This window comes from Homo sapiens, chromosome 6 (assembly GCF_000001405.40).
Source record: "Homo sapiens chromosome 6, GRCh38.p14 Primary Assembly".
Classification (NCBI taxonomy): Eukaryota; Metazoa; Chordata; class Mammalia; order Primates; family Hominidae; genus Homo; species Homo sapiens.
The window spans coordinates 87,407,303-87,428,092 of record NC_000006.12 but is presented as its reverse complement, the minus strand read 5'-3'; the positions used below and the strand labels follow the sequence as shown (position 1 = coordinate 87,428,092).

The 20,790-nt window shown below is 39.0% G+C and overlaps 1 protein-coding gene and 1 pseudogene across 1 annotated transcript in view; one reads left to right on the top strand and one right to left on the bottom strand.

Annotated features, from left to right (window-relative positions):
- The window catches only part of CFAP206 (cilia and flagella associated protein 206), a 56,494-nt gene extending 36,373 nt beyond the window's left edge, over positions 1-20,121 (bottom strand). The window contains exons 1-8 of the mRNA NM_001031743.3: positions 20,004-20,121; positions 18,146-18,258; positions 17,425-17,508; positions 14,193-14,283; positions 12,219-12,407; positions 11,266-11,424; positions 9,677-9,885; positions 1,448-1,567 (exon numbers count right to left, since the gene is read on the bottom strand). Coding sequence (NP_001026913.1) covers positions 1,448-1,567; positions 9,677-9,885; positions 11,266-11,424; positions 12,219-12,407; positions 14,193-14,283; positions 17,425-17,508; positions 18,146-18,253 — 960 coding nt within the window. The 5' untranslated portion in view covers positions 18,254-18,258; positions 20,004-20,121. The remainder of the gene's footprint in view (positions 1-1,447; positions 1,568-9,676; positions 9,886-11,265; positions 11,425-12,218; positions 12,408-14,192; positions 14,284-17,424; positions 17,509-18,145; positions 18,259-20,003) is intronic.
- Positions 2,037-2,653, top strand: TAF13P1 (TATA-box binding protein associated factor 13 pseudogene 1; annotated as a pseudogene).
- Positions 20,122-20,790: the final 669 nt, after the last annotated feature.

The window sequence follows — 20,790 nt, the reverse complement described above, 5'->3', positions numbered from 1 at the left end:
TCGCTTGAACCCGGGAGGCGGAGGTTGCAGTGAGTTGAGATCAGGCCATTGCACTCCAGCCTGGGCAAAAAGAGCAAAACTACTTCTCAAAAAAAAAAAAAAAAAAAAAAGGAGGGTGGAGCAAGGTGGCAAAATAGAAAGTTCCCCCCACGCACCCTGCAAGGACACCAAGTTAACACCTATTTATACAGAAAAAAACACCTTCATAAGTACCAAAAATCAGATGCTGAAGATGTGTTTAGAGGAGAATGAACACAAAAGTGTCACTGAAGACCATTTTTTGTTTGTTTTCCTGACTGATCATCTAATAAAATATAACAATATTAAGAAAGTAAAAAATAAATTAAAAAGCTAAATATGACTCACTATAATTAGATTTTTTCTGGCCAAATCATTGCAAAAGAACCTGGAAAGTATAGAGATATATCTTGGGCCATGTTTTGTGAGCTGCAAGTTAAATATTTGAGGCCAGTGAGATATGTTTCTTATTCCTATTAAAGGTCACTGACTTATAGAACAAATGAAAAAATCAATAAGGCCCCACATCTAAGTTAAACAATTTAGCCTTTTGTTTCTTGGTTTTTAAACCAAATACTGGGGATGACTGCAGAAAGTTATTACAGCCTCATATCCTCTATAATAATACTACATATAGGCTGGGCGCAGTGGCTCATGCCTGTAATCCCAGAACTTTGGGAGGCCGAGGCGGGCAGATCACGAGGTCAGGAGATCAAGACCATCCTGGCTAACACAGTGAAATCCTGTCCCTACTAAAAATGCAAAAAAAATTAGCTGGGCATGGTGGCGGGCGCCTGTAGTCCCAGCTACTCGGGAGGCTGAGCTAGGAGAATGGCGTGAACCCAGGAGGCGGAGCTTGCAGTGAGCCGAGATTGCACCACTGCACTCCAGCCTGGGCGACAAAGCGAGACTCCGTCTTGAAGTAAATAAATAAATAAATAAAAATAATACTGCACATACATTTTATACCTCCTTATCCAGATAAGGTTTGCCAGGTTTGTCCATAAAATGGTGCAGATAATCAGAAACTCAATGTAAGTGCAGGCCTGGTAAACAAAGTGATTATTATCTGTCTTTTCAGAAAGGTCACAAGTTACATCATCTCTGTACTGGAGGCAATTTCTGACCAGCTACTATGAATACATTTTCAACCACAGTACAATGATTATTTCTGTTGTCACAGCCAATACTGATATGGTTATCATACTATACAGTTGCAGTTCCTTTAGTAGCAGTTGCTTATGTGGGGGAATTCTCTCATCCAACTTATAGCACACTATTACGGCAAAGTAACCATAAAGAACAGGATCAATTTATACAAAACATTATATTTTTAGAAATTAAATATAATTATAATGACTTGCGATCCAATATTATAGGGCTCAAAAGGAAATTCACCTTAAGGTCAAAGTTTATGACAAATACTTACAAAGACTTGTGATGTTGGGACCGCTATCTTTGATTTTATGGTCATTTTTAGTTGTTCCAGATGGGCTCCTAACTGTTTTGTCATCATTTCCACTTCTTGAGCACCAGTAATTATATCTGACTGTGAAAACAACATAATTTGCATTAATATTTTTATAATTCTACTATAAAAATCATATGTGTTTCAGACCATACCTGCTCCCCACATCCTCTGAAAGTAGGCTCAATGACAGCAGGAAGTCTGTTCTCCGCAAGATCCTCAACACCTAGAACAGTACCAGCATATGTATGGGGCTCCCAAGATATTTGTGAGATGGATGAATCTTTTGAAATACAATAGGTATAATTTTTCTTAAATGTATACAGGTATTCTTAGATTTAAATATAATTGCATTCTTGAGAAATGGATCCTCAAGAATCCGTTTTTGTATAGCTGTTATTTTCCTATTCCTCAATGATAAAATTAATTAGGGGTTCCTCTGAAAATTATGTTGATAACAAGATTTAATAAAATCACATTGAGAAAAACCTGTTAGGAGTGAGCCAGCAGGGCACTGCAGGTTGGCAAGCTAGTGAGATCTCACCTGTGATGTATGCCATGTGGTTTAGGGGATGCCAGAATCCTTGTACTGAGCAGGGGATATTCTTGAAGACCCTGTCATAGAGTTCATCATTGAAATGACTCACAAGGCAATGTGAATTGGAAGATGAGGTTGAGTACAAGTTTACAATATTGTTTTCTTGATTTGAAGGGACCTAAGGAAGTTTGCTAGGGTTAAAGACTTGATTACTATGAATGCAGAACTGAAATGAACTGGAAAACCATTTGACGAAGTAAACTATGGATCTTGACACCTTTTGTACTTTCTGAAACTTCATTATCGTCTGGGGGAAGTACATATATTAACTGTATATTTTCTATAGTAAGGTCCTGATAGATATCAAGCCATGTAACTGAAAGATGGAGAAACACAAAGTTTTCAGTTTTTATTTTCATGCCTTCAATTTTACGGTGATCTTTGAGCCTTTAATCGCCTGTCTTTACATAATAAGCATACTTGAAATACTTCTTGGGTTTCAATGATCACACATAATAAGTTAAAGTACCTTGTAAACCATTTATTTCCTTCTGACTTTTGACTATCTAAAGGATGAAGTAGTATTTATATGTTAGCTATATTTGTGCCATTGTAAGCTATACTGTAGCTATTTATTATGCAAGATCTAAAAGATATATTTGACTTTATGATAACTAAGACATGCTTCATGTATCCTAAAGTTTTTGGACAACAGTAAACTGAAAGGTTATTAAAGGTAGTGAACTGGTTTGTGATCCTTCTAAGGAGATGATATAGAAAAATACGGTTCTTTGTAAGAATTTGTATCTGTCTTAAAAGAAAATTTGTCTTAATATTCTTTTCTTCTTATAACAAGAGTGATTATTTTTCAAGAAACTAAAAGTTTCACGTGAATGCTTGTTGGAAGGCATTTTTGATTTAAAACCTTCTGAGGCTTATAAAATACTATCTGTTAAGTTTTAGGAGAATTCATTTTCCCATATCAGATTAAATCTTCTCAGAATAAATGCTTTCAGTAGCAAGAACAGTTTTAAAAGTTGATGACAGGATAAGCATTTGGGATAGTATTCTATTAACATATTTCTAAGTACTTGTTCACTGTGGAAATGTGTACTTGATTAAAACATATATGGCTATGGAATCTGCTTTTGCAGTTCAGGATATACAGGTTTGTGTGTATTTAGCTTATTGTAAAGCCCTTACCTTAAAATAAGGATTAAAATTACATTTAAATAGATCACTGAATGTTACTCTTTGTGAAACTGAACTTTTTGTATGACACAAACATTATAAATCAACACTTGGGAAACTTTAACTTTCTTAATCTATTGATACAAGGAATAAAGTATGAAAAATTAAACAGAAAAAAGTCGCATTGAAGAATGCAGAAAATCTTAAAAGTCAGAGCATTGAAAGAAAAACAATATATTTGATACAACAATCATGGTCTGAAAATAAGTTGCTAAACACTGAATTTGAAATAATTATATTTGGCCAGGCACGGTGGCTCACGCCTGTAATCCCAGCACTTTGGGAGGCTGAGGTAGGCGGATCATGAGGTCAGGAGATCGAGACCATCCTGGCTAACACGGTGAAACCCCATCTCCACTAAAAATAAAAAAATTAGCTGGGCGTGGTGGCACCTGCCTATGTCCCAGCTACTCGGGAGGCTGAGGCAGGAGAATCACTTGAACTCGGGAGGCGGAGGTTGCAGTGAGCCAAGATCGAGCCACTGCACTCCAGCTTGGGCAACAGAGCGAGACTCTGTCCCAAAAAAATAAAAAAAAATAATTATATTTATTCTTACTATGTGCTAAGCACCACATTAAATACTTACAAATACAAAAAGGGATAAGTACAAATGAGAAAATCAAAGAATAGTAAGGTAAGTAAATTGTCTAAGTATATGCAGCTAATAAGGGGTAGCAATCTTGGTGGATCCCAAACCATCTGAGCCCACAGCCCAGCTCTTAACCATTATACTGTGTTGCCCAAGATGTCACCAGAAATGGTTGTGGTGTGGGTTTATCAGTATAGCATAAAAGAATGACATCTATTTGAAGAGAAAAAGGTGCATCTGAATTCTCAGACATCTGTATGTAGCCTAATTATATGCTTTCTAGACTCTTTTAAATGACAAAAATAATTACTTCATGAGTACTATCAACTATTATCATTGTATTACAACTAACAAATTTTTATTCATAAATGTAACGTGTATCCTGTTTAATTTTACCCATACTGCTGTTTAAGCTTTACTCCTCCTCCTGCTTTATTCCTCCATACACTATTATCTATTATATCAAATAGGTCTCTTGTCTACCCTCATAGAGTTTTTTCCCCCTTGCTTGTTAAGTTTTGTTTTAGGAATCAATACGAAAATGCAGTCTTTAAAGTCTTTTAAGATTTATGCAACAGCAACAAGAAACAGGAATACATTTGCATACGTTCTCCAAAATAAAAGTTGCATTCGACATGCAATACTTATTAAAACCTACAATTAAAAATATCCTAAGGCTGGGCCGGGCGCGGTGGCTCACGCCTGTAATCCCAGCACTTTGGGAGGCGGAGGCGGGTGGATCACGAGGTCAAGAGATAAGAGACCTTCCTAGCTAACACGGTGAAACCCCATCTCTACTAAGAGTACAAAAAATTAGCCGGACGTGGTGGCGGGCGCCTGTAGTCCCAGCTACTCGAGAGGCTGAGGCAGGAGAATGGCGTGAACCCGGGAGGCGGAGCTTGCAGTGAGCGGAGATCACGCCACTGCACCCCAGCCTGGGCGACAGAGCGAGACTCCGTCTCAAAAAAAAAAAAGAAAAATAAAAAAATAAAAATAAAAAAATATTCTAAGGCTGGGCGCAGTGGCTCACGCCTGTAATCCCAGCACTTTGGGAGGCTGAGGCAGGTGGATCACTTGAGGCCAGGAGTTCGAGACCAGGCTGGCCAAGATGGTGAAACCCCGTCTCTACTAAAAATACAAAAAAATTAGCCAGGCGTGGTGGCGCGTGTCTGTAGTCCCAGCTACCAAGAAGGCTGAGGTAGAAGAATCGCTTGAACCCTGGAGACAGAGGTAAACCGAGATTGCACCACCGCACTCCAGCCTGGGTGACAGAGCGAGACCCTGTCTGAAAAAGAAAAAAAATACTCTAGACCCCTCCCCCAAGCTGTAGTTGCAGGATCCATTCAGAGTAGGCACACAGAGCTTCTTGCTTTTTTTCTAATAATGTCCTAGAAATTACTCTACTTACATTTTACTAAAAAGAATTTATTCACAATCATCTGGAGTTGTTTTTTTGTTTGTTTTGTTTTTTTTTTTTTGAGACAGAGTCTCACTCTGTGGCCCAGGCTAGAGTGCAGTGGTGCAATCTCAGCTCACTGCAGCCTCCACCCTCCGCGTTCAAGCGATTCTCCTGCCTCAGCCTCCCAAGTAGCTGGGATTACAGGTGCCTGCCACTGCACCGGGCTAATTTTTTGTATTTTTAGTAGAGACGGGGTTTCACCATCTTGGTCAGGCTGGTCTTGAACTCCTGACCTCATGATCAACCTGCCTCGGCCTCCCAAAGTGCTGGGATTACAGGCGTGAGCCACCGCACCCGGCCTTTTTTTTTTTTTTTTTTCGAGATGGAGTTTCGCTCTCGTTGTCCAAGCTGGAGTGCAATGGTGTGATCTTGGCTCATTGCAACCTCTGCCTCCCGGATTCAAGAAATTCTCCTGCCTCAGCCTCTCGAGTAGCTGGGATTACAGGCTCGCACCACCATGCCTGGCTAATTTTTTGTACTTTTAGTAGAAATGGGGTTTCACCATGTTAGCCAGGCTGGTCTTGAACTCCTGACCTCAGGTGATCCGCCTGCCTCGGCCTCCCAAAGTGCTGGGATTACAGGTGTGAGCCACCACGCCCGGCCCATCTAGAGTTTTTAATTATAATATTAGTCCTCTAAAAATGCTATCACTTAAAAAAATTTTATCATAACATTCAAATGTTTGGCAAAAGCATGTGATCCCAGCATGTTTCTTTGTCTTCTTCCCCTTCCCCCTACCTTTTAAACACTTTTTATAAGTTCCTCATACTTTCTTCCACGGACAATTTTCAACAAGTCTAGTCAAACTTATAGAAGCAGAAATTAGAATGGAATCTCTGATGTTTAATGTTCTTATTACAACAGAAATAAAATATAATAAAACAAGCACAAATTCCACCTAACTGATTTTTTTACTTGCCTTATCAAGAAAAATCAAGAAGCCCTGTGTTGTGTGTCTGTGAATGGGCCCTGCAAAAATAGCTTGGGGGGAAATAACTCTACAAAAATCTTGACTTACAGGTTTTAACAAATGTGCTGTCAAACGCAGCTCTTACTTGCACAATAACATGCAGCTTTCCCTCTTTGGTGTCTGCCTTGCACTTTAAAAGCCCATGGAAGATGGAATTTTATTCTCTCAGTTAAGAGTCAACAAAACTACGATCATCACTCCCTTTTCTTTTCTAGAATATTTCAATGTGTTCACTGCAGAAGATAAAGGCCTGATTAAAACAAAATAATTCACTATCTTACCCAGGCTATATATTGGATTTTTTTTTTCTTTTTGAGACAGTGTCTCACTCTGTCGCCCAGGCTGGAATGCAGTGGCACGATCTCAGCTCACTGCAACCTCTGTCTCCTGGGTTCAAGCGATTCTCCTGCCTCAGTCTCCTGAATAGCTGGGATTACAGGCACCCACCACTATGCCCGGCTAATTTTTGTATTTTTAGTAGAGACGGGGTTTCACCATGTTGGCCAGGCTGGTCTCGAACTTCTGACCTCAGGTGATCTGCCTGCCTCAGCCTCCCAAAGTGCTGGGATTATAGGCGTGAGCCACCACGCTCGGCCTATATTGGATTTTTAAAATGTTCACATAAACTGAAACTTTGATGAGAGAATTTTTAAAAATCAAAATTGCTACTTTAAAATTTTTAATTAGTTCAAATAATGTGACTTTAAAACGAATATTCATAGATTTTAATATAGGAAAAATCTTGGCTAATTTTAAATTGATGCAGTTTATAATCTAGAGATAATACTGATTAAACCAATATCCATTTCATAATAATCAACCTTAATTGTCACTAAGACTGATGGGGAAGGACTGAATAGTTTAAAAACAAAACAAAACAAAACAAAAAAGACTGTTTGAGCAGAGAATCAGAAAGTTAAGAAAACTCATCCTGATCCTGACTAAAGTCAGTACAAAACAGCCATAAAGAGTGCTTGGATAAGAAAATTAACTTTCTCAACAACGTGAGCAGCAAGGAGCTTGGAAATGAGATACTGTATGGAAAAATAAAAGCTCTTCAGCTTGTTCCACTAGACAAATGAAATCACAGCTGTTCAGCTAAGGCCCTAACAATGATGATGATGATAATCATAAACAACATCATCATCACTTTATTGAGCCGTTGCACCAGGCACTATGCCGCCTTATTTACATGGTGAAGACTATGAATAACCCCATTTTACAGATACGGAAACCAAGGCACAGGGAAGTTAAGCAGCTTCCTTACGGACACAGATTTAGTAAGTGGCAAAGTCATGATTAGAATTCATGTAGTCTGGTTGCAAAGACCACACTCATCATTTCTACATTTTACTCACTGTCCTCTCCAGCTGTGAGAAGTAGAACGCCAATGAGAATTTAAGACTTAGTTGGTGGATTCATGATTGCAAGCTATGAGAAGATTCTATATAATGAATGACATCTTCTGCAACATCCTTACAGTTGTGTGACAGTTTCTCAAGGTTCTTTCTTATAATATCACCTCTGAATACAGGTGACAAATGTGAATGTGAAGTTCTACTCCTGTGGACTCACATGCACTTCAAAATAAATTGATTACAAAATCCCCTTAGTAGCTGACTAGTTAACATAAGGCTGATAGCCACAAGGTAATGTAAAGGGAAATATCCACCCCAAGAGTGTGACTTGGTTTTTATTATTATTTATTTATTTATTCTTTTTAGAGATGGGGTCTTCCTTGGCTACCCAAGCTGGAGTGCAGTGGCATAGCCAAAGCTTACTGTATCCTCAAGCTCCTGGGCTCAAGCAATTCTCCTACCTTAGCCTCCCAAGTAGCTGGGATTACAGGTTAGTACCACCATGCTTGGCTAATTTTATTTTTTGTAGAGACAGGGTCTTGTAATGTTGCCCAGGCTGGTCTTGAATTCTTGGCCTCAAGCAGTTCTCTAACCTCAGCCTCCCAGCTAGGATCCTTCCTCCTGAAGACAATTAGATAGGCTAGTTGTGAGGACAACCCCTAGTTTGAATGAAGTCATGTCATCAGAACAGCTAGGTAAGGAGAGAGGACAGACCAAGTGCATCCAATAGAAGGACCAAGTCATTACAATGCAAGTTAAAAAGAAGAGGTGGTCAGAATACATCCTATTCTATCCCTCAAGAAATTAGCATTCACTCATACAAAAGACAGTTCCACTAACCGAGAATCTCATAGTTACTGGAAAACAGAGGTTGTGTAAAAGTAAACGGTGACAAGTGGGAACATAACCTGCCATCATGCAGTAATTAACAGACTGTGTTTCTTACAACCCTAGAGTGTCAAGGGGATATCCCTTAGTGAAAAGGTCCTCCAGTCCCTTTATGTAGATATCTGTTTTATATTTGTAAGATTCTGAGTAAGTTTCTATCTGACAGAAAGGTCACTGCTACTTTTTAAAAAGTTTATAACCACCACTTTACCATATTTTTCAACTCTCTAGGGATACTGTTTGGCTTGTTCATTAGATCTAAAAACACCAGATATAAAAATCTTATCTGGCTAGGTATGGTGGCTTATGCCTGTTACCCCAGCACTTTGGGAAGCTGAGGCAGGAGGATTGCTTGAGGCCAGATGTTCAAGACCAGCCTGGACAACATAGCAAGACTCCAATCTATATTTAAAAAAAAAACAAAAAAAAAAACAAACGTTTTTTTGAGTCAGGGTCAGGGTCTCCCTCTGTCAGAGTGCAGTGGTGTGATCTTGGCTCACTGCAACCTCTGCCTCCTGGGCTCAAGTGATCCTCCCACCTCAGCCTCTTGAGTAGCTGGGAATACAGGCACATGTCACTGTGCCCGGCTAAGTTTTGTACTTTTTGTAGAGATGGGGTTTTGCCATGTTGGCCAGGCTGATTTTGAACTCTTGGGCTCAAGCGATCTGTCCACCTTTGCCTCCCAAAGTGCTAGGATTACAGACATGAGCCACTCTGCCTGGCCTACAAAAAACCTTTAAAAAAATATTTTGTACCAGTTGTTACAGTGAGAACAAATAATTACACAAAAATTATTTGAAAGGCAACTACCTGCCAAACAATGTTACATACTTGCTCTGAACTAAAATAAACATAGTATTACTTACATATACACCACTGTTTAACTACAGCATGCTAACAATCATATTATCAAGTACCAATGAAAAAATACAAATTCAACTTCTACCAAAATATTTTCATTAAAATCAAAACCCAACTTTTCTGTTTCTATTTTGATTCCTAACTCTACCAAAGCAATATAAACCGAGCAGTTACTGAGGTTTTCTCCTTAATTAGTGACCTGGTTCTACCTGATGTGGCCTTATATAAAGAGATTGCATTATATAGAAAAGGTCAGGTCTTATGAACTTAACTCACCAAAATGATCTGAAGGAAGACCTCATATTGTCGTATATTATATAGCGCTTCTTTTAACATATATGGCTGAAGTTCAGCCCTCATGAGTGGGTCGTTGGCTGCCTTCTCAAGGATGGCTGTGTAGCGGTATACCTGGCTCCGGGCAGTCTCAAGCTGGTAATCAATATGCTGCATGGTGGCTGGGATTGCTACATGGAGAACAGCTGGCACTGTTTGTAAGAGTATGAAAAGGCAGCCATAAAGGAGACTAAAAACAATTAAGGAGAAGAAGCCTAGAAAGTAGTTACATTTTAAACATTAAGTTAGGGTTTTTCTCCCCAATCAAATTAGTAATAATGAGGCATGTGTTTCCTGGGTCCCACAACATAAAGAAAATCTAGGCCGGGGGTGGTGGCTCACACCTGTAATCCTAGCACTTTGGGAGGCCGAGGCGGGCGGATCACGAGGTCAAGAGATTGAGACCATCCTGGCCAACATGGTGAAACCCCGTCTCTACTAAAAACACAAAAATTAGCTGAGCGTGGTGGCGCATGCCTGTAATCCCAGCACAGGAGAATCACTTGAACCCGGGAGGCGGAGGTTGCAGTAAGCCGAGATCGCGCCACTGCACTCCAATCTGGGCGACAAGAACGAAACTCCATCTCAAAAAAAAAAAAAAAAAGAATCTAAAACAAGTTCAAACAAAAGATATTAACAGAATGATAACCCAGTTACAGTAGGTCAGCTTTTGCCACTAAATATAGAAGAGTTCAGAGAATAGGCAGAGTTTGGTATTATGTGTTGTTAACCATGTGCTTCCAGAAAAGCCACTGACCCTTCCTTTTGTATATCTTCTTTTCTAGTTATTAAAAAAAAAAAAAAAAGGAACGTTTGTTAAGAAACTCATCTGGATGGTGAAAAATGACAGAATAGTCTAGCAAGGGAGGGTCATTTATGAAAATGGAAATTTGACTTTTTAGAACAGTTTTTAAAATAGAAAAAATTACCCTTTTATACTAGATTAGTGATTTGGTGAAAGACACTAACACCTTATCAGTGGGCCTACAGGAGTACCAAATTTCATAAGGAAGTTACTTCTACTGGTAGGTACTTCATTAAATATTTCATAAGTACTTTCAAACTTATAAAGAATGCATTAAGTATATAACCACAAAGTAAATGCCCCCGAATTTAGAGATTTGAAATATCTCCTCGTGGATCTTTTCATTCCATTAACTGCACCAGGAACTGTTTTCAGGAAGATTTTTATTTTTTAAATAACTAAATTGTACTCCCTTTTGGTTACGGACTTGCAGTAATGAACACAAAGCCCTGCTGAACTGGGAGGTTAGCTTTGAGCAGGACCCTTCATTGCTTTCACTGATTCACTTTCTCCTACTAGCTTCATGGTACATAAAATGTAAAGTCTTGCCCCAGCAAAAGTAAAAATCACTACACATTATAAACAGTAGTTATTCTTAAGGAAACAGTAAAAAATGCAAATCTTAAATTTAAGAATGCCAGTGGTGTGTTGTTTATTATTTTCCTCACTGTGCAAGTTAAATTTTAAACATACATAACCTTTAGAATTAATCTAATGATATACCTACAATCATCAATGCCTTCTCCTCCTTTTCCACAGTCTCTGTTAAATAAACGAATTCCAGTAACAATCATGGTGAGTTCTTTCAGCTGGCGTTCTTTGTCCTTCTTAGAAAGAGTTAGAAATGTCCCAAGCTCTGCCTGAGGAAAAACACTCTGTAGAGCAGCTAAAATAAACCAGAAAAAAAAAAAAGGAAAACAAAATGATAGAATAAAGATATCAGACGTTAAATAACGTTTTTCTTTAGCAGCAAGTTAAGGGTCTGAGTTACTTATATGATTCTTTAAATTACTGATACCTGATTATAGGATACATAATAAAACTTATCACGCATCAAAGCTGGATTACTGAGAGTTATGCCATTGCCTCATGTCCATTTTTAATAATTAAGCATCCAGCAGTAACTTTTTGGCAATGGGCATGAAAACAAGCTTTCTAATTAGGGATCTGAGCCAAAAAATGGATGCTTTAAAATAATTATGGAAGAAAGCCATAGGAGAGCTAGACATTTTTCCTATTCCTCATTTTAAAGGATGAAAGAGGGCAAAGACTTCCTAAGGATAAAATGGTGCCCCATTCCATCACCCATTTTAAATGACAGACTCAATTTCTTTCATCAATATGAAATATCCGTTTTCAGCTTTTCCATTTACTCAATCAGCCTGGTACCCTCAATCCTACTATCAATGTTTCTCTAATGGGGTGTAATAGGTGCCTAGATATGTACAGCTCTAGGAAAATTAGCAATATTTCACTTTCTAGAGGTGCTACTTGAGTTTTAGAATGGATACACAGTGTAAAAGGAGACTGGGTACATTTTAACTCATTTGTGCTGATTTTTTTTTTTTTTTCAGATAAAAAGGGAACTTCAATCTTTAACACTTCTAATTTAACATGTTTTATAAAATACAATGACCATATATTTTCACTTATGAAATGGAAATTGGTTATACTTTTTACCTGTTACCTCTCTGACAGTCTTGATGTCTGTAGGGGATCCAAGGCCAGAGCGGAGTAACACATAGCTGATAATCTTCCGGTAGAGGCTTTCCAATTCTTCTTTAGCACATGCTCTGTTATCTGTAATTTCTCGGGTAACAGAGCCTAATCTAGACTCTAGGACCCGGTGATGTTCTTCGAGAAATTCCACTAAAATTGCCAAATAACAATGTTCTATATATTTAATTTTTAGAATTCTTCTTACGTAAGAACTAGAGAAAAACTGGATTGGATATGGCAATTCTACTTCAGGAAAACAAGTAATTTCTTAAGCTGTAATAATGAAATAAAAAACAGTGGCCAGCATGTAGCCTCAAGACAAAAATCCAGGAGGGAAGATTTATTACAGTGACTTAAATGGAATACTTTGTCAAAACACCTAAGACTTTAAACAGCCAAACTAAACAGGAGATATCAGAAAAGGCTAAAACCTCCCAATTAAGCAGAAAATAAAGAAGACCATTTCTACAAAATATATATTATATATTTTAATTTTAATACTATATGAAAAAATAAATATATACATATTATATATTTATGCTATATGTAAGCACATGTAGTATACTATACATAAGCATATATAGTAGCAGAAATATATATGTAGTATATATGTTCCTTTCGGTTACGTGTATTTTTATTTCAGTTCTAGATAAATTTCCTCTGAAAAGCATTATTGATAATACGATGTTGCATCGAGAACTGTATCCCTCCTCATTCCTCCTGTGATATGCTGAGGGACAGGCTTCACTTTGGCAGGACACTATGTTCCCTGAGTTGTTGCAAGTACAATTCTGCAATGACTCTATAAGACAACCCATATTACTATTACAAGGTCAATAATTAACATATCCACCACGCACAGTTTATACCTATACCCTTGCCACAAAACCAACTGAGAACTTTTTGCAAATTAAAAATATGTTTAAATAACAAATTTAAAAATCTATAGGTTAAATTTTATCAATTATATGACTATTTCTTGCTTTAAAATTTCACTATTAAGCAAAAACGCAAGATATATACTTTTACATAGGTAGCATAACTGAAACTAACAAAGAGAAACATCACCAAATTGTTAATAATGATTGTACTATACAGTAGAGGTAGAGGTAGTCCATAGAGAAATAGACTTGTTTTATATAGCAGGTGCAGAGGCAGTCCATAGAGAATTACATTTTCCTTTTTCTTTTGTTTCCAACTTGTCTTTGATGTATGCATTAAATTATTTACATAATGAGCCAGGCATGGTGGCTCACACTGATAATCCCAGCACTTTGGGAGTCTAAGGCGTAGACAGATCGCTTGAGGCCTGGATTTCGACACCAGCCTGGGCAACATGGTGAAATCCCGTCTCTACTAAGAATACAAAAATTAGCTGGGCATGGTGGCACACACCTATAGTCCCAGCTACTCGGGTGGCTGAGGTGGGAGAATTGCTTCAACATGGGAGTCAGAGGTTGCAGTGATCTGTGGATCGTGCCACTGCACTCCTGCCTGGGTGACAGAGCAAGACTCTGTCTCAAAAAAAATTTACATATTGAAACGTTTTCTAAACTTAAACTCCCCATCGTTCATTTTTGAATAGTTACATAATTTAGGTAATTATAATGAGATAATAACATAAACCAGGAACAAGAAAATCTATAAATTAAAAACTTTTAACTTCAATGGGCTGAATTCCTAATTATTATGTATTAGTGCCACTGGAAACAATAATTATGAGCACAATAATTGGAATTCACTTTTAACACTCACAAAGGCCAATGGTTTTTTTTCATTTAGCATTTCTAACGTTGTATTCCTCAAAGTTGATTGCCAAAAATTAAATTGTTAAATTGATTAAACAATTAAATTCATTGTCAACCAAATGAAGCCCTTCTTAGCTGAAACACAGTATGAAATTTTTTAAGTATAAAAATAGGTAGTATACATTACCTCGATTCGTATAATTCATATCGAAGTAGACTTGCATCTTAATAGTGTCCAGGGATGGATTTTTAGTATCCAATAGCCGAGTCATACAAAGCTAGAAAAGAATGTCCCATGAATACTTCTAGTTATAGTTTTTGAGACAGTCAAGTATTTCCTAAAGTTATTTTCAAAAATAAAGGGAAAAGCAGTGGTTCCTGATATTGATTCACCAATAACCCCTTTTATTTTTTTTTTCTCCTTGAGGACTTCAGGCTTTATAGTTTATTTAACCAATAACTTTTTTTATTTTTATAGATTTAGGGGGTACAAGTGTCATTTTGTTACATGGATATATTGCGTGTAGTGGTGAAGCCTGGGCTTTTAGGGTAGCTAACACCTGAATAGTGGACATTGTACCCATTAAGTGATTTCTTATCCCTCGCTCCCCTCTCACCCTCCCAAGTCTTCAATGTCTACTGTTCCACTCTCTATGTCCCTGGGTACATATTATTGAGCTCCCACTTATAAGTGAGAACATGTGGTATTTTACTTTCTGAGTTATTTCACTTAAGATAGTAGCCTCCAGTTCCATCCATGTTGCCACAAGACATGATTTCATTATTTTTTATGGCTCAATAAAACTCCATTGTGTGTATGTGTGTATACATTTTCTTTATCCAATCATCTGTTGATGGACACTTAGGTTGATTCCATATCTTTACTACCAATAACATTTGTTAAGTAATAAGTTATTTCCCTTGAGTTAACCAATAATCATCATGCCAGGTGGCTAGTAGTCTAGTTGAAGGCAAGAAACCTGATGTTTTGGTTAGTTTGAGCAGTCTAAATGTGGGTAAATGTTCCACAAAGCTTATATTCCAGTCTAAAACTCTTCTAGAGTTCCTCATTACTATTTATTTGTGCCTTGAACAACACTCCTCATTTTATTTTATAAAAAGCTGCTGCAGCTGGTGCAGTGGCTCACACCCGTAATCCCAGCATTTTGGGAGGCAGAGGTGGGCAGATCACCCGATGTCAGGAGTTCGAGACCAGCCTGGTCAACATGGTGAAACCCGTCTCTACTAAAAATACAACAATTAGCCAGGCATGGTGGCACACACCTGTAGTCCCAGCTACTCGGGAGGCTGAGACAGGAGAATCGCTTGAGAACCCGGGAGGTGGACATGGCAATGAGCCAAGATCATGCCACCGCACCCCAGCTTGGGGGACAGAGCGAGACTCTGTCTCAAAAAATAAAATATAATTAAATTAAATTAAATTAAAATTAAAAAGCTGCTGCAACCACCCCCCTCTCTTCACAAAATTTCTCTGGTTCTACCCTTGATATTTCTTCTCCTGGTCTGTTTTCTCCTATGAGCCCCCACATAGATGGCTCATTCCCCTTCTCTGCCTTGCCTCTTTATATTGAATATCAACCTCAGTTTTTCTTTCCTTCTCTCATCTCTACTGGTCACCTCCCTCCCCCACTTCCTTCACTGCTCACTCTGTAGGCTGAATATACTGCAGCTGGCAGGCACTTGGCAGCATCACTCTCAACCCATCTCCCTGAGCACCAGCCCTGCTTTCCTGGGAGGAGGGAGGGGAGAATGCAAGACTGAGGATTGGACACTATGTCTTTGCAGAAGCCTGTGCACCTGGATCCCTCCACATACAGAAGTACTGTTCTAAAATGCACACTTAAAAAAATAGCTCATCCACATGATTTTTAGTTGAGAAAAAAATTGTCACTTGAATATAACATATGTTGTTAGTTTATGTACCTGTCGTACTAAAAGTATATTGGCTTGATTCTTTCCAACTTAGTTGAGTTGGGGAATTGGGGGGAATGGAAAACTCTTCTTGGGTCATGACAAGGAGAACAACTTATTTTCTGCCCCTCCTGGATTCTCTTCCACGGCTTTCCAATAAAATTTCTGACTGCCACAATCACTTCCCCTATTGCTAAGAACAAGCTTTATACCATCTTTTCTCTGCATCCTCACCAATATCTGTTATGTTTTTACTTTTTAAAGATATTCTAACTGGTGTAAGATTGTATCTCATTGTCAGAATAGAAAATCCAGACACAAAGCCACATACCTGCAGTCAGGTGATCTTTGACAAAGTCAACAGAAACATACACTGGAGAAATGACATCCTATTCAATAAATGGTGCTGGGAAAATTGGATTACCATATGCAGAAGAATGAAACCCATCCCAATGTCTCACCATATACAAAAATTAACAACTCAAGATTGATTAAAGACTTAAATGTAAGACCTGAAACTATAAAAATAACAGAAAAAAACCTAGGGGGCTGGGCATTGGCCTACGCAAAGAATTCATGACTTAAAAGTAAATGCAACAGAAATAGACAAATTGGATTTAAATAAACTAAAAAGCTTCTACACATCAAAATGAATAATCAACAGAGTGAAAAGACAGCCTGCAGAATGGGAGAAAATATGTACAAACTATGCATCTGACAAAGGACTAATATTCAGGATCTACGAGGAACTCAAACAACTCGACAACAACAAATAACCCCATTATAAAGTGGGCAAAGGCCATGAATAGATATTTTTCAAAAGAAGACATACAAATCGCCAAAAAGCATGAAAAAAATGCTCAACATCACTCAGCATTAGAGAAATGCAAATTAATTTAGTTCTATTTAACTTCACAGTATATGACGAACTAGTTAATGTTTGCAATGTAAGACATTAGTAACAAGGTTTCACTAAAATACTGTAGCAGATGCTGCTACCTGCCCAATTTCCCTGCCCTTCCTTCCTTACTAACAGAGCCTCAATTTGGATTGGGGCAAGGATTTATTCATCTAAGAAAGAAAAAAGAAGTGAAATGTCCCTGGGTCACTTACAATATCATTCTGGTCAATAAATGTTAAGTAGATGGGAGGGATTCTGGGAAAATTATTATTTTCTGGATAGAAGGTGATAGACCCAATTGGCACACATATTTTGCCCTTTGTCTTTCCCCCTTCTTTCTGCCTAGAGGCAGGGTAGCTATCTTTTGACCACCAGATGACCATATTGCAAGGATGGTGTGCCCCAGGAAGCCAGGAAGAATGGTCTATGTCTCTCCAGATTTTGTGTTATGAGAAAAATATCTCGTGTATACTACTATTTTGTGGGCTTTTGTTTCATGCAGCTGAAGGCAATAATGACTAATACAAATATTGTATTTACAACTGAGAATAAGTAATTGCAAATTTGAGGACTGTTGGGTAATCACCTTAACAAGATTCTGCACATCACTTTTCATGAGGGTTCTATCCATGTTAAAGCCATTACTTGGATCCAGGACAACAGCTTTCACCTAGAAAAAAGTAGGAACGAGTCCATTAACTAGGAAAGAATCCATTAAGCAATTTTATTTCATATTATTAGCTTAATATGTTTCCATTTTTTAAACAACTACCTCTTGATTACGTTGGGGTTGGTTTTCCAACTATTCTTCTTATTACTGAACTCATCAGTACCCTTGTTAGAGGTTGAAAAAAGGAAGCAACAAACATCAAACTTGAATATGGTGCTAGAAAAGTTATATGGGGAAATAAGTTGAAAGCAATGGCTAGGTTTTCAATTGGGAAACTATGGCATATTTTATTGTATTTTTATTGTGTATTGTTAACCAAAAGCAAGAACAGAGAAACCACAGCAATGAGTAATTTTTAACAACGGCAAACAAAAATACACGTCAAAAAATTCCCACACAGGAGAACATTATTGATGTTTCCAAAACTCATCAAGGTCTTCTAAATGTCTCTATAAATCTAGAACTCACATGCTCTATAAACTTTTTAAAAATGTTTTCACAAATTTGTCCAATTATCTCGTTATGCTTCAACTGAAAAACATTTATGAAAGCCTCACAGAATTTAAAGGGGAAAATGGACACCACATCTTAAAAAACCTCTTAATAAAACAGTAATCACAAAAATATTTCTTCTTACCATAAAAGCAATCAGAGTTTCAGAAACAATCTCTCCATGGGCTGCACATTCTTGTCCTATTTCTCGTATAATACTCCTTATAACACTTTCGGCCTGAGTTGGAGGCATTCTGGCTAAATAAAACAACAATTTTTTTTAAAAAAACCGTGGTTTTATGCAAATTTATTTTTTTCCTCTTTTGATTTCTGCAATATTGTATTTGTAAACAGTCATAATATCATCTATTAGCTTATTAGCATTTTTATTAGTATCTAGGCCTCTCCTGTTTTTCATTATTTTTAAAAATGAAGGACTTTATTGAAGACAGACAACGATTGGGATTTCAAATAATTGAAACATTTGATAAATAACATTTTCAATTATTTAAATTATGGTCACTAAACATATATTCCTATCATGATATTCTTAATTAAAAAAAAAAAAAAAGGCTAAGCAGGCTGGGCGCGATGGCTCACGCCTGTAATCCCAGCACTTTGGGAGGCCAAGGCAGGCAGATCACCTGAGGTCGGGAGTTCGAGACCAGCCTGACCAACTCAGAGAAACCCCGTCTCTACTAAAAATACAAAATTAGCCGGGAGTGGTGGCACACGCCTGTAATCCCAGCTACTTGGGAGGCTGAGGCAGGAGAATCGTTTGAACCCGGGAGGCGGAGGTTGCGGTGCCATTGCACTCCAGCCTGGGCAACAAGAGCGAAACTGTGTCTCAGGAAAAAAAAAAAAAGGCTAAGCAGTATTTGTAGGGGAGGGAGGTAAAATTAATGAGAAACCCAAGAGTACAGCTTTAAAAGGAGAAATGCTTATTCCACCACATTCATTAAATGACCCTTCAGAACTGTACTAGAATCTTGGAAAACAATTCTTGCTCAGATCATTAAAATGATCTTTTCCGCACATCTAAAATAGAGTTCAGACTCTCGATAAAAAAAAGCATTTACTATAAGGAAAAAGTGGTAGGTTTTGATCGAGTTTTCTGATTTTCCTGAATATCAGTAACTAAGCACAATGGAAGTTGGCATGTAGAGTATAACAAAGGCAATATCAGGTAGATAAAGCCAACTCCTCAGCATTATTAGCTTTCCAATGGATGAGTACGAAGCACTAGGCATTTTGTCCAGTGAAACCAGATTGCCTGGATTCCATGGTGACCCGACCACTGTCCAGCTGTGAGACCTTGGGCACTTGCTTCACTTCTTTCCAGAGGTGTGAGGACTAAATTAGTCCTGTTTTTAGTGGTTACAACAGTGCGCGGCTTAAGGGAATCGCTTAAAACAGCTTATAATCAGTACTCCAAGATCACAGGCAGCGCATGCGCAAGTGCCAGTCAGTGGGAGAGTCCGTCGCGCTCCGGATCTGTGTGCGCGCTCCGGATCTGTGTGCGCGCTCCGGATCTGTGTGCGCGCTCCGGATCTGTGTGCGCGCTCCGGATCTGTGTGCGCGCTCCGGATCTGTGTGCGCGCTCCGGATCTGTGTGCGCGCTCCGGATCTGTGTGCGCATGCGCGCCGCTGCCGGGTCGCTAGGGACGCGGCTCAGCACCTTCCCTGCACCCACCCTCCAATTACTAAGTCTCCCGAGGTCCGGCTTCTGGGGTAGCCAGTGGAGCGAAACAGAAGCGGGAGGCCTCAGGCACCCGCGCAAAGGCTAGAGGGCAGCCCTGCAGCCCTGGGGTGGCGCCTCCGGCAGGAATGGACCGCTGTTCCAGCTCTGCGGCGGCGCAGCCTAAAGGATCGAGACTGAGAGCTAAGTCTCGACGAGGCAGGACGCGGTCCTCCAGCCGCCCGAGCTCCGCCAGCCGCCCCAAGCTCGCCGCCTGGCGGGGTACGCCTCCGGGTCAAGGGCGCGGAGCCCCGAGTAGGCTGACCTGGATCGGAATCGACAGCAGGAGCCGTGTCTGTCTGCTTCTGTCCTGGGGCCCTCACCGCGACGGTCGGAGCAGTTGGGCGCTCGCAGCCACCGCCGCGTAACCATGGAGATGGAAGGCTCCGGACCAGAGGGGGCGGGGCCAGGTGGGGGTGGGGCGGGGTCCCACTTTGAGGGTCTTTCCCCCAAAAGATGGGCTGGAAAAACTTTAAAAACAAAGGAATTTCAGGCAGAGACATCTTAACCTCCGTGGTTAAGACTGTGAAACACAAGTTCTCGTAAATAAGGATATTAACTTGCTAGCGTGGGAATGATGAGGCGGCTTTGAAAGCGGGGTGGGGGAGAGGGAGGAGCCAGTTGGAGAGGCTGGGAAAACGGAAGGGCTGTATCCTGGGCAAATAGAGTTCTTGTAAAAGTATCTAGTTTTAAAAAACAAAAGTAAAAAGTATCGAGGTTTTATTTCATGTCCCGTTGTTCAAAGGAAGTCTGTAACAGAACGCTCCAAGATGCCCGAAGAGAAAACTGCTCATTCAAGAAGCACATGATAAGAACACATTAGTGTCCGAGTCAAAATAATGAGGTTTTATCCCTTAACGATAATATCGTTAGGCCCACCTTCAGACGTGAAAGTGTGAAAAAGGATTAAATACTCATTAGAAGGAGAGCATCAAACAACAAGGTTTTATTTTTAAACAGTAATTTTTCTCAAACTGCAAACAAATATGCAGAATATGCTTTGCTTAAGGACATTCCCTGATTACTAGGAAATGAATCAACACAAAAACTCA